The sequence below is a fragment of the Homo sapiens genome, chromosome 17 (genome assembly GCF_000001405.40).
Source record: "Homo sapiens chromosome 17, GRCh38.p14 Primary Assembly".
Classification (NCBI taxonomy): Eukaryota; Metazoa; Chordata; class Mammalia; order Primates; family Hominidae; genus Homo; species Homo sapiens.
Genome location: NC_000017.11, coordinates 80,187,064 through 80,200,409, shown reverse-complemented (window position 1 = coordinate 80,200,409; position 13,346 = coordinate 80,187,064). Strand labels below are relative to the sequence as shown.

The 13,346-nt window shown below is 55.6% G+C and overlaps 1 protein-coding gene across 19 annotated transcripts in view, besides 1 other annotated feature; it reads right to left on the bottom strand.

Moving 5' to 3' along the window:
* The window catches only part of CARD14 (caspase recruitment domain family member 14), a 39,302-nt gene that overhangs the window by 8,922 nt on the left and 17,034 nt on the right, over positions 1–13,346 (bottom strand). For 15 of the 19 annotated variants that reach the window (XM_047436713.1, XM_047436719.1, XM_047436714.1 and 12 more), the window contains 9 exons: positions 11,866–12,033; positions 10,538–10,657; positions 9,511–9,636; positions 8,938–9,087; positions 7,791–7,907; positions 5,077–5,219; positions 4,758–4,852; positions 2,248–2,311; positions 1,819–2,011 (listed from right to left, as the gene is read on the bottom strand). In XM_047436713.1, the coding sequence (XP_047292669.1) occupies positions 1,819–2,011; positions 2,248–2,311; positions 4,758–4,852; positions 5,077–5,219; positions 7,791–7,907; positions 8,938–9,087; positions 9,511–9,636; positions 10,538–10,657; positions 11,866–12,033 (1,176 nt within the window). Of the gene's footprint in view, positions 1–1,485; positions 2,012–2,247; positions 2,312–4,757; positions 4,853–5,076; positions 5,220–7,790; positions 7,908–8,937; positions 9,088–9,510; positions 9,637–10,537; positions 10,658–11,865; positions 12,034–12,486; positions 12,611–13,346 lie in introns of those variants that run through there. The other 4 variants (NM_052819.3, NR_047566.2, XM_047436718.1 and 1 more) reach the window with 4 other exon arrangements.
* Positions 10,628–11,144: an enhancer, noted in NCBI's record as "H3K27ac-H3K4me1 hESC enhancer chr17:78163065-78163581 (GRCh37/hg19 assembly coordinates)". NCBI's record gives its function as "activates a minimal SCP1, AML or CMV promoter by ChIP-STARR-seq in primed H9 embryonic stem cells {active_cell/tissue: H9 hESC(primed)}" and the evidence as "EXISTENCE:reporter gene assay evidence [ECO:0000049][PMID:30033119]".

The following is a 13,346-nucleotide window of genomic DNA, read 5'->3' as shown; positions in this document are numbered from 1 at the left end:
CAAAAGTTAGCCGGGTGTGGTGGCGGGCACCTGTAATCCCAGCTACATGGGAGGCTGAGGCAAGAGAATCGCTTGAACCCAGGGGGTGGAGGTTGCAGTGGGCCAAGATCGAGCCACTGCACTCCAGCCTGGGCGACAGAGCAAGACTCTGTCTCAAAAAAAAAAAAAAAAAAAAAAAAATGACATGTAAAGAAAGGCTTCCCGGGTCATGTGGAGGACGTGAAGGACGCTTGAATTAGGTGCTCCATGTGCTATCATTGGAGCCCTAGGGGAGCTCAGCATTTGGACAGCCTGTTCCAAGGGGGCAGTGAGGGGTGCATGGAACACTCCTGCCTGAGGGGTTCAGACGCATCCTCTCCCCGCCTCTGTGCTCACCTTCCCACCCCAGAGCCCCCATCCCCAGTCCCCTCCTGGAGGCCGCAGGGTGAGCCTCTGGAATGAGGTGAAGCCCATCTTGCACATTTCTTGGTTTAAAATTTTTTTCATATTAAGAAAGCACTGTGCTTTCCTTTTTCTTTTCTTTTTTTCTTTTTTGAGACCGAGTCTCACTCTGTCACCCAGGCTGGAGTGCAGTGGCACCATCTCAGCTCACTGCAACCTCCGCCTCCCAGGTTCAAGTGATTCTCCTGCCTCAGCCTCCTGAGTAGCTGGGATTATAGATACCAGCTATTTTTTTTTTTTTTTTGTATTTTTAGTAGAAACGGGGTTTCACCATGTTGTCCAGGCTGGTCTCAAACTCCTAACCTCAGGTGATCTGCCTGCTCCAGCCTCCCAAAGTGCTGGGATTACAGGCATAAGCCACCGTGCCTGGCCTTTTTTTTTCTTTTCTTTTTTTTTTTTTTTTTTTTGAGACAAGGCTTTGCTCTGTCACCCAGGCTCGAGTGCAGTGGTGCAATCTTAGCTCATTGCAGCCTCAATCTCCTGGGCTCAGGCATCTGAGTAGCTAGGACTACAGGCATGTACCACTGTGCCCAGAAGTTTTTTTTTTTCCTAAAGTTTAATAATTCTGCTTTTAGGCCACATCAAAGTCACCCCCTGACCATGCAGGCGCCCACCACCACACCTGGCTAATTTTTGCATTTTTAGTAGAGACGGGGTTTCGCCGTGTTGGCCAGGCTGGTCTTGAACTTCTGACCTCAAGTGATCTGCCTGCCTCAGCCTTCTGCTGGGATTACAGGCGTGAGCCACCACACCTGGCCAGGTTGTATATTTGTGTCCATTTATCTTCTCAGCAGTTTTGTGCGTTTCGTAACAACAACAAAAAAAAGTTTTAGAAAATGTCCCCAAATTAGCCGGGCACGGTAGCGCATGCTTGTGGTCTGGTCCCAGCTACTTAAGAGGCTGAGGTGGGAGGATCAATCGAGCCTGGGGAGGTCGAGGCTGCAGTGAGCTGTGATCGCACCGCAGCACTCTAGCCTGGGTGACAGAGTGAGACCCTGTTTCAAAACAACAAACAAAAAAAAAGAAAGAAAAGAAATGCCCCAGTGGTTAAAATAGTGAATTTTATGTCACGTGTATTTTACTGTACACACCCAAAGTGACCACCCAGAGCAGCCCTGTCAAGGGGCCTCATGCAAAGACCCCTGGTCAGAAGCGCCGCATGGCAGCAGCACCACGGGTGACATGCTGGGTTCTGCACGGCACGACTCTCATCTATAAATGAGCAGAACGCTTTACGTCAGCCCAGGAAAGAGCAGAGGCCCAGCCCAGAGTGGATCTGCATCGTCTGGGGGAGGTGAAGTCTGCCTGGGTCACCCCACCCGCTGCCACTGTCCCCATGAGGAGCCCGGGGGACAGGAGGGGCCTCGCACGGCTCACCATCACAATCTGGGTGCCCGGGCGCAAGGCCATCTGGTCCGCCGCCGAGCCCGGGGTGACCCGGTGGATGAAGATGCCCGTGAGGTTCCCGCCGATGACGCTGATCTGCTCCAGCAATGCATCCCCCTGGAACGCCAGCATGGTGACCTGGCTCAGGATCCTGCGGGCTGGCCTCCGCCGCATGAGGACGCCGCTGCAGGCCGGGAGACGACCGGCTTGTGCACTGCCCAGAGCAGGAGAGCCGGCAAGGCCACCTCCCCATTGCTTCCCTCTGGCCCCAGTGTTCTGGAATTCTCCTCCCCCTCCATGGCCCCATGTGCTTGGAAAGGCTGTTGCCTCCCATTGGTAATAGGACACTCACCCTCTGCTCTGCCACTCCCTGGCCCTGGTTCCCCAGCCAGCCTCGGAGGATTCCCACCTGCTGCTTACCTCTCCGAGACATCAAGCCTTCCAGGGGAGACTGGCTGCAGGCTGCTTTCCAGCTGCGGAAGGTCTGGGAGGAAGCCAAGAGCTCACAGATCTTGGTCACCCCACTGCTGATGGGGCGTCCTGTAACCTCCTGTAACCTCAGCCCCTTCTTCACAGATCTTGGTCACCCCACTGCTGATGGGGCGTCCTGTAACCTCCTGTAACCTCAGCCCCTTCTCCCTCAGCCTCAGGCCCCACTGCCTGTTCCATCCTTTGTGCTGAGGCTGAACTTTCTCTTCCTCCACCCCTTCCTCAATGCTTGGGACCTTGATTTCATCTTTCCTAAAATCACTGTAACTAGTGAGGAGCTGCAACTGGGAGGGTCTGACCACCACATGCTATTTTGTGATATTTGAATGAGTTGCCAACATTTGAAAGACAGGGAGGTTTCACCTAAAATCTGGATTTCTGGCTTCACTTGAAAAAATATCTGCTGTAACCCTGGGGCTGCATTTCCGCACTGACCTGTATTTCTGCATGGACCTGCATTTCAGGACTGGCCTGCATTACTGCATTGACCTCCATGTCTGCGTGGGCCTGCACTGCACTGGCCTGTCTTTCTTTCTTTCTTTCTTTCTTTTTTTTTTTTTTGAGACAGAGTCTCACTCTGTCGCCCAGGCTGGAGTACAGTGCCGTGATCTCAGCTCACTGCAACCTCCGCCTCCCGGGTTCAAGCAATTCTTCTGCCTCAGCCTCCTGAGTAGCTGGGACTAGAGGCATGTGCCACCACGCCCAGATAATTTTTGTATTTTTAGTAGATACGGGAGTTCACCATGTTGACCAGGCTGGTCTCGAACTCCTGACCTCATGATCCACCCACTTTGGCCTCCCAAAGTGCTGGGATTACAGGCATGAGCCACCACACCCGGCCCTGGCCTGCCTTTCTACATGGATCTGTATTTCTTTTGTTGTTGTTGTTATTGTTGTTGAGACTGAGTCTCGCTCTGTCGCCAGGCTGGAGTGCAGTGGTGCGATCTTGGCTCACTGCAACCTCCACCTCCCAGGTTCAAGTGATTCTCCTGCCTCAGCCTCCTGACTAACTGGGACTACAGGTGTGTGCCACCATGCCCAGCTGACTTTTGTATTTTTAGTAGAGACGAGGTTTCACCATGTTGGCCAAGATGGTCTCGATCTCTTGAGCTCATGATCCGCCCACCTTGACCTCCCAAACATGGACCTGCATTTCTACCCAGACCTGCACTACTGTACTACACGGCATTTCCACACTGGCCTGCATTTCCACACTGGCCTGCATTTCCACACAGGCCTGCATTTCTGTGTGGCCGCAATCACTGGCACTGGCCAGCAGCTGCCTGCTCCTTACCCCAGACTCCTCTGCTTCCCAGCTGGTGGTGGCAGGTCTCTGAGTTGTCAATCCTAGGACTAGAGGCTCCCCAGGGTCTCCCAAGCTCTAGCATTTTACTGTACAGCCTGTGAGCCCCCGAACCAGGGAGCAGCCTGCCAGGGTCGACGGCTGCAAGTCTCACTCTGTGAACCACACAGCAGAGCCAGGGCCAGCAGAGACCTGAGAGTTCCCTAGGCCTGGCTCACAGGCAAAAACCCATTGGGATCACATTCAAAGCCAATGAAATGAGCTGTGTACTCTGGATGTATTTGAGGTCAATTCCACTAAAAGTATATGCAACCAGGGCATTACGCAGAATCCTCACAGAGGAAAAATAAAGAGGAATAAGCCCCTCTTCTCATCTCACATCTAATTTAGATATGCCTTGGGTGGTCTCTCTCGATTTATCACGATTATAAATAAAAACGTGTATGAGTCCCCAAAGATGAAGATTTCTGATTCTGCGACCCACAGAAGGCACAGGGGCAGCGCAGGGCACTTGCGCCCCCTGGTGGCCATGGGGTGAATTCCAAATGGGGAGCAAAGCACCTACTGTGTGCAAGGCCCAAGGCTGGGAGCCGGTCGCGCCGAGGTGGAAAGGATTAAGGCACCCACCCATGACGGGCCCATGGACTTGGGAAGCAGAGAGGGCCGGTCCAATCACAAACAGAAATGAGCTACAGGAGAAGCGCGAGGCCTCAGGGCCAGCGCCTGAGAGGAGAGATGCTCCCCGCAGGTAGATGTCACGCTGTGCCTCGCCTCAGCCTGGCACCACTAAGCCACCCTGCCTGCTGCCTTCTGAAACCACTGGGAAGCCCAAGCGTTACAGATCAGAGCAGGGGGCTGGGTGCTGAGCAGGGCGTGGATCAGACACAACTCCCCTGGCTCTAGGGAAAAACACAAGGACACCAGCAGACAGAGCGCAGCCGGCCTTTGGCTTACGCTGGCTGGCAGGCGGGACTTTCCCAAAGTGCAAGGTCGAGGCCAAGGTCAAGGCCCAGGGCAGAAGTTGAGCTCTGCTTCTATCTGCCCTTTCCCTGGAGAGAGGCCCCGGCTTTCTCATCAGCTCCCTGCTCTGCCCAGGGGAGGTGGACTGCTGTGGAGGTTCAGGGTTGGGCGTGCTCACCTGCCGTGTCTAGGAGCTCATAATCCAGGTGTGGGTCGCCTGCCTTAGCTCCCGGCAGGGCTCCCGGGTCTCCCTCCGGGATCTCCAGGCAGCTGCTGCAAAGCATAAGCAGCAGCAGGCTCAAACTGCATCACCTGCTCCCTCTGAGTCCCCACGCCCCAAGCACTGGCCCCCAGCACCTGCCAGCTCTGGGGCTTCGAGGGCAGGAGCTGCTGCCTGCAATACCCAGATGCCCTGAGGTCTAGGTTGGTGTCTCTGGTGAGTTGCCAGGAAGGACCCCAGTGCCACCCCAGTGCCAGGAAGGACCCCAGTGCTCTACCTGAAAGACCAGGGTTCTTCCCCGAAGTCCTCGGCCACCCGCTTGTACAGGGACTGCTGGCTGGGGGGCGCGGGGCTGCTGGAGCGGAAGCTGTCCACCAGCTCGCGGCTGGACGTGGCACTCAGGTCCGACAAGAGCTGAGACTGGAGGAGGGAGGGCAGAAGTCAGTGGGGCACGCACGAGGACACCCTGAGACTCCTCCCTTGCTCCCCCACGGTGTAGAGAGAGCCACAGTGAGAACTGACTGGAGAGGAGGCAGGAGGGGAAAGAAGGACACACATGGGGTCACATGCGCTGAGCACCTGCTGTATGCCAGACACTGGGGTCACATGCAATTAGCACACAGCACTGACACATGCTGTATGTCAGGCTCTATTAGCTGCTTGGCTTAGTTCTCACGATAAATCTGTAAGGTGGCACTGCTGTCCCATTTTACATGTAAAGTGATATAGTTTGGCCGTGTGTTCCCACTCAAATCTCGCCTTGAATTGTAATAATCCCCACATGTCAAAGGTGGGACCAGGTGGAGATAACTGAATCATGGGGTCCGTTTCCCCCATGCTGTTCTCGTGAGAGTGACTGAGTTCTCACAAGATCTGATGGTTTTATAAAGGGCTTCCCCCTTTGCTGAGCACTCATTCTCTCTCCTGCCGCTCTGCGAAGAGGTGCCTTCTGCCATGATTGTAAGTTTCCTGAGGCCTCCCCAGCCATGCTGAACTGTGAACTGTGAGTCAATTAAACTTCTTTCTTTGTAAATTACCCAGTCTCAGGTATGTGGGTATCACCAGCATGAGAACGAACTAATGCACAAAGCAACTGAGGCCCAGAGAGGTTGAGTTAGTGACTAGGGAGGGGAGGCCGCACTCAGAGTGCACACTGACAAATGTGACGTGCGAGGCGCTGAGGCCACCAGATGTGTGGGGTAGGTCTGAATCCCGCCCCTTCTTTCACTAATAAGTATTCCTGGAGTAGCTACTATGTGCCAGGTCCTTTGACAGTGTCAGATGTACATCTGAGGACAGGGACTGTCCTTGGGGTGGGGGAACCAACGGGCACCCGTGGACCAGTGAGGTGGAGTGAGGCATTCCAGGGCTGTGGGCGACATGGGCAGGGCAGGGAGGCCAGGGCGGACTCTCTGGAGGAAGTGGCATGGACAGAGGAGTGAGGTGGAGTGTGTGTGTGTTGGGGGCAGGGGGCACATTCCAGACAGAGAGAGCAACAGAGCAGTGGCACGCAGAGAGCCCATGAAGTAGGAGGCAGTCCCCCTAGAGCAGCCAGATTAGAAAGCCGGGGCAGGAGGAGAGTGGCTGGAGGGCAGCTGATCGGTCAGTTGCCCACGAGGCTGGTGAATGAGGATGGTGTGTTCTGGCGAGCCAGTTCTGAGCACCTGAGGTCCCTTCCCTCCCTGACCCAATCCACCCCTGGGGAAGGGAAACACGGCTGGCCTCTGTCCTGTGGGGAATGGGGGCACAGAGGGCGTTAAGGCAGATGCGAGAGTCGATTCAGTTGAAGGTTTGGACTGTCCTGGCCCAGGGAGGCCCAGCACCGACTGTGAAATCTTCCCCGTGTGTGCACTCAGTGTTCTGGGGAAGATCCCGGCCTCCCCCAGCTCTCTGAGTGGCCAGGGGGCAGGTGAGCCTGGGCCTGCTGCTCTTGGGCCACTGATGGGATGGTCCAGGAAGGAAACACCAGGTCCACCCCAAGGCATGGCAAAGGGATGTCAGCCTCGCCCGCCTCTCACCCTCCCTCCCTCCCGGCTCCCGGCATCCTGTGGCACTGGGGCTTTGACCCCCAGCATCCTCATGCCACATGCCCACTATGGTGGGACCACCTCTTTACTTTGCCAAAGGGTGAGGACAGATGCCAGGGTCCTGAGGCTCCAGAAACCACAGTGAGGCCGGCATCCCAGGGACCATGTGTGCCAGGTTGAATCGGGTCCCCTGGAAACTCATGTCTGGGGACTGTCTGTGCCAGGTCGAATCGGGTCCCCTGGAAACTCATGTCTGGGGACTGTCTGTGCCAGGTCGAATTGGGTCCCCTGGAAACTCATGTCTGGGGACTGTCTGTGCCAGGTTGAATCCCCTGGAAACTCATGTCTGGGGACTGTCTGTGCCAGGTTGAATCGGTTCCCCTGGAAACTCATGTCCACCCTGCAAGCTGTGAATGTGACCTTCTTTGGGAATAGGATTTCCAGACGGGTACCCTGTCAGCACTTTGACTTTGGATGTCTGGGCTCCAGGACTGTGACAGAATCAACCTCTGATGTTTAAAACTCTCGCAATAGGGCCAGGTGCGGTGGCTCATGCCTGTAATCCCAGCACTTTGGGAGGCTGAGGCTGGCAGATCATTTGAGGTCAGGAGTTCAAGACCAGCCTGGCCAACATGTTGAAACCCTCTCTACTAAAAACACAAAAATTAGCTGGGCATGGTGGCAGGTGTCTGTAATGCAGCTACTTGGGTGGCTGAGGCAAGAGAATCGCTTGAACCTGGGAGGTGGAGGTTGCAGTGAGCCGAAATCACATCACTGCACTCCAGCCTGGGTGACAGAGGAGACTCTGTCTCAAAAAATAAAATAAAATAAAACTCTCACAATCGTACCAACCTCTTCCCTGTGGGGACAGGGTGGAAGGAGGCTCACTTTCGTCCTGACAGAGAGGCCCCTGGGCTGGCCCAGAGGGTCAAGGCAGTGAGGGAGGCGGGAGGAGCGGCCGTACCTCTGTGGAGCTGACGAGGCTGCAGTCGCTGTCGTCTCTGGGGCAGATGGCATGCATCCGCACCAGCCGCTGCTTCTCCCGTGGACAGGGCTCCCTGGTCCTGGCTTCCTGCTTGAGCTGCCAAAGACAGGCCAGACAGGCTGGTTAATTCGGGAAAGGTTCCGCTTTGAGGCCCGTGGAGTTTCTACCAGGTCAGCACCACCCATTTCACCCTCCCCAGCAGTTTCCTCTCGTCAGCTTCCAGGGAAAACAATTGTGTCCCTGTCCTCCGAGCCCATCACAGGATCACAGGCGCTGCCAATCAAAGAGACTGAAAGAAACCAGCTGGACACACAGCATTTCATTTCTTTTAGAATATGTGTGATTTACTAGTTTTACGAATAATGTATAATACACACACATACATACACACACAGAAAATTGGAGGAAGGCAAGTAGAACCAGTTAGAGAAGAAAATAAAATCCACCCGTCATCTCACACCCAGAATGAGCACAGCCTGCGTGTTGGTGCCTGCCCCGGGAGGGTTTTTCTCTGCGTGCACACGTGTGTTTCCACCGTCGGTGTGGGATGCTTGCCATGCAGGGGGTAAGGAAGGAAGGGCCGGGTGGGTTCCGCATGCGGAGGGAGGAGCTCCTTTGCCTCCCCGGGGGCCTGGAGCTGGAGCTGCCTGCCAGCCCAGAATGAGAGGCTTTCTAAGAATTCTGGCTTTCTGGGAACACGCTCCCTCCGTTACATGTAGGTCTGTCTTTCCACTCTTGGACGCTGGGCTTTTAAGCATTTCAGGAACACAGCATCTACACTGCAAATGGCTGCCTGTGGACAGCTTCAAACGCCACCTGCCACATCCATCACCACACTCCACAGGTTCCAGAACCTTCCGCTAAGCTCCCCATTCGATGATATGGAGGCAGACTCTACTTGTCTACTGGGCACCTTCGAGGTTTCACGGCACCATCCACGCGTGGGAGCCAGTGTGTCGCTCATCACAGTGACACTGGGCCGTCTCTGCAGGTGCCGCGTGTGGCCCAGCCTGGGACCCTGCCTGTCCTCCCAGTGCCTCCATGGGCCACCCTGGAGCCCAGCTCTGTCCCACTGTCACCGCAGCCCCTGCCTGGCCTCCAGCTCGGGTCAGCCGGGAACACTCACCACACCCGGAGGCTCTGCCTGCAGCTGGCGAAGCTGTGTGCGCAGCTCGCAGACCTGGTCCGTCAGCTCGAACACCTGCCTGCGGAGGGAGTCCTTCTCCACCAGGCTCTGGGAAATCTCCCTCTGAGCACTGTCCCTCGCGGAGTACGCCTGTGGGCCACGACGGGAGTAAGGAGGCCGCGCCATCACCACCGGGGAGCCTCAGCTAGAGAAGGAGAGCCCTGTTTCTAGCCTGCGCTCATCTGACATCCACTAAATGGCCCACGCTGAGCTGTGCAAACTTAAGATTCATTTCAATTCGTGTTCACATGTGCAGTGTTGATAAAACCCAGTATTTGGGGTGTACTTTCTCAGTGTCATGTACCAGGAATAAGAGCAAGAAGGATGATAGAGACAGCATGTGGACAACAGGCCTGGAGGAGTGAAGAAACTTCGTGTGGACCGAGGAAAGAGACCCTGAAATCTGGGACCAGCTGCCATCAAGGGCAGGGAGCCACGAGACTGTCCCCGGAACCAGCCCTCACCTGGGGAAGCAAGCATGGGGTGGCGGGGTGGGCCCGGCCTCTCAGGTACCTGGTCTCGCTCCTTCTGCAGCTCGCACACCTGGGCCTGCAGCGCATTCACCTTCTCCCTGTAGAGTTGGCAGGCCATCTTACTCTTCTGGAACTGCAGCAGGGTCTGTTCCTTCTCTTCCCAGTACTGGACAGAGTGGGACACATGGACCGTGAAGCTCAGCAGCTCTGAGGGTCTGGCCTTAGAAGGGGGTCGGGGAACCCAGGGGTGGAGGGAGGGAGACAGTTCTAGGGATGAAATAAGGTCAATTCTCACTCGTCTCTCTCTCTCTTTTTTTTTTTTTTTTTGAGACAGAGACTCGCTGCGATGCCAAGGCTGGAGTGCAATGGCGCAATCTCGGCTCGCTGCAACCTCTGCTTCCCGGGTTCAAGCGATTCTCGTGCCTCAGTCTCCCTAGTAGCTGGGATTACAGGCACACACCACCAGGCCCAGCTAATTTTTGTATTTTTAGTAGAGACAGGGTTTCACTATATTGGCCAGGCTGGTCTGGAACTCCTGACCTCAAGTGATCCGCCTGCCTCGGCCTTCCAAAGTGCTGACTACATGCGTGGGCCACCGCGCCCGGCCTCGCTCGTCTCTTAAGTGCTAGATTTCGAGGTGCATCTAGAAAGTTGCTTAGGCTGATTACGTCTGAATTAAAACAATGAGGGGATGTTGCATGCATAGTTGTGTTTTGCGTTTTTAATGTCCCAGAAAAACAATTTTCCCTCCCTGTCCTCTTCTCTTCTACCGTCTCCTTTCCTCCCCGTTCCCTCCTCACCTAAGTCCCTGGCTCTCCCCGGGGCCTGGGCCCTGAAATCCCCTGCGTTTGAATCACGCATCTGCCTGACCATGGTCTTAGCTGTGGGGTGCGAGTCGGTGCTTAGGGTGGCGCTGACAAAGGGACAGATGAACAGGCCGACAGATTCGTTCAGCAAAATTATGTGAGCTCGGCGTGGATGAAGGAATCTGGCTTCCCCACAGACCTGTCCGCACCCCTGAGACAAGCCCCAGGAGAGTCACAAGGGAGGAAGGGCTCACACGGCACCTGCTCTCGCTGCCTCTCGGCAGCCACGGCCCGCTCCCGCAGCGAGTGGATGCGCTCCACCAGCTCCTGTCGGCTCCCCCGCGCCTCGTCCAGGCTCTGCTCCAGAATGTCCTTCTCCGCCTGGGGCAGAGAGAGGTCAGCCTGGGGTGCTGGCTTCCCCAGAGGCCTGCCCTAGGCAAGCAGAATCCCGAGAAGATGGCGGCAACTGCACGGTCAGGTGTGTGGACGGATGCAGTCTTGCCACTCTACACCGGGCAGGAGAGAAGCCACGGAAAAGCCACCCATCATGCCTGGGAAAAGTGCAGATTCATGGCCAAGGAGAAGGAACACAGGAAGCTGGCAACCTCTGAGGACACCAGTTCCTCCCTTTACCAGGTCAGCCTTCTCCTTCAACAGATCTACCGGCAGTTTCACAGCGAGGGAGAAACCAGCAGACAGGTCATTCCCCTCTGACACTCACTTCCCAGGAAGGAGCTTATAAACAGAGACACAATCCGGGCTGCAAGATGGCCAGTGCCCTGGGCCCAGTGAATGCTTATGGAAGGAATATCTCAATAAATACCAATCTACTGAGAGGGGCCGAGGAGGAGACGCCAAGGGTCGTTGCTCACTCACTGCTCCACTTCAGAGCCCCCCTCTCTCCAGTGCACCTGAGGCCCAGAGGGCGGAGTCTTTCCAGGCAGAAAGGTTTCTTTCCCCCATCCTTAACGCGAATCCCATGCTTTACAATTGGCCAAGTCCACTCCAGAACACAGTCGCTGCAGTAAACCCACCAAGTCGGGCATTGTGATGCACCTCCAGCGGCTTTTATTTTTGTTTGTTTGAGACAGGGTCTCCCTCTGTCGCCAGGCTGGAGTGCAGTGGCGTGATCTCAGCTCCCTGCAGCCTGAAACTCCCAGGGTCAAGCGATCCTCCCACCTCAGCCTCCCGAATAGCTGGGACCACAGGTGTGCACCACCATGCCCGGCTACTTTTTGTATTTTTTGTAGAGATGGGGTCTCGCCATGTTGCCCAGGCTGGTCTTGAACTCCTGAGCTCAAGCTATCTTGCCCATCTTGGCCTCCCAAGTGCTGGGATTACAGGAATGAGCCACTGTGCCCAGTTCCAGCTTTTAATTCTGTTCCAGCAGCTTTTAATTCTGCCAATTTTGGGGTCTGGGGAACAGCAGGAAGGAAGGAGGTAAAGAGAAAGTGGGTGAGATGAGTCACTAAATTTCATCTCTTGTTCTTAGCCTCACCTTAACTAAACCACCTGTCAGAAACCCCACAGCCTGAGGGCCAAGCCCCCAAGGCAGGAGGCCGCTCTCTGCTGCGGGGACCGGAACCTACCAGGCTGAAAGTCAGCGAGCGCAGTTTCTCATTCTCCTCCTTCAGGCGGTTCAGCTCCTCATCCCCGGACTCCTGGTCGCTGGCTGTCCTCAGGGACTGCTCTTGCAATTCCAGCTCACAGGAGGAAACCATGTTGGCTCGCTGCAGCTCCTGCTTCAGTAGATACAGCTGTGCGGTGGGGAGGCGACAGGAAGGGCGATGGAAACAGCTTCTCCCCTGATCAGGAGCTGGGGGCATTTCTCACCCTTCCTCCTAATGATGCTTTTAGCACTCAGGGGGCTTCCTGCCTCGAGACTGAAAAACCCACGAAAGGGTTCACCTAATGAATAGTCCCAAATATTCAACTGGGGCTGGGAGGACAGAGGCCTTTCAGCTCTGTCTTATAGATGAGGCACCGCGGTTGAACTCCATCCAGGGTTAGGGTCCCAGGAATAGACCAAGAGGCCTTGATAACCAACTCCTGGATCTCTACAGCTGAGCAGCCGGCAGTGATGGCCAGCATGCTCCCTGGCTTCCCTGCTTGTCCATGTTCTGCTAAATACATCAAGAAAGGGAATTTGGAGTCATGGAAATCAGTAAGAAGTAAGAGAGAGGAAAGTCAGGTCGGAGGGGTAGACGTGCCTGGGAACGCGGGACCGGGGCTGTTCAGACAGCAAAGCTCCTGTGTTGACTTGCAGTCTGTGTGCAGGGCCCTGGCCTTCCAGGGACTATCCCACCAGGTCCTGCTGGCCTCCTTCCTCTGGACAGCAGCCCAAGAGAAACTTGGAGCTCGAGCCACGGGCCCGCCCTCTTCCCGTCCTGGGTGTGGCAGCCCTGGGGAGGCAGGACTTTCCCCGTGAGGCAAGCCCGGGAAGTCTGCACGTCGGGGTGGGTGCCGGTGCTCACCCCTGGGCTGTGGCCAAGAAGGACCTTTCCACCTGGACTCTCCCCTCCCGACACCCGGTTAGCACATTGTCAATTCGCAAGTTCCCAGCTCCTGCAATGGTCCAGCTGGGCTGGGCATGTCACCGTCCACAGATTCAAAAAGTAAAATCAAGTCAGAGCTGGAAGGGAACCGGAAAACATGAGACTGAAAGTGAACCAGAACAAATGAACCGAATTCTATTTCCAACAGACGCCATAACCACAACGAAGAGAGAGACAGACAGACAAGGACAGAGAGAACGAAGATACAGTGACTCACAAACACAGTGTTTGATTACAAACCCTCAGCCTTGAGCAAGATTGGCTGGCGGGGGGAGGTGAATTACAAACAAGTCCGGCACCCGTCTTAGCGGGGCTGTTAATGGCAGTGGTATGGGCAGAGTGATTCTGAAACGATTTGAGATGTGCTGCAGGACTGAGCACGGGTCTGAAGGTGCTGGTGACGCTGGGAGCAGCGTTCCCCCTGGGGAAGGAGCACACACGTACGGAACAGGAGAAGGCAAGAAAAAGCCGCAGGGCATGGGTTGGAATTAGAGGTATGGGTGAGAACCCATGAT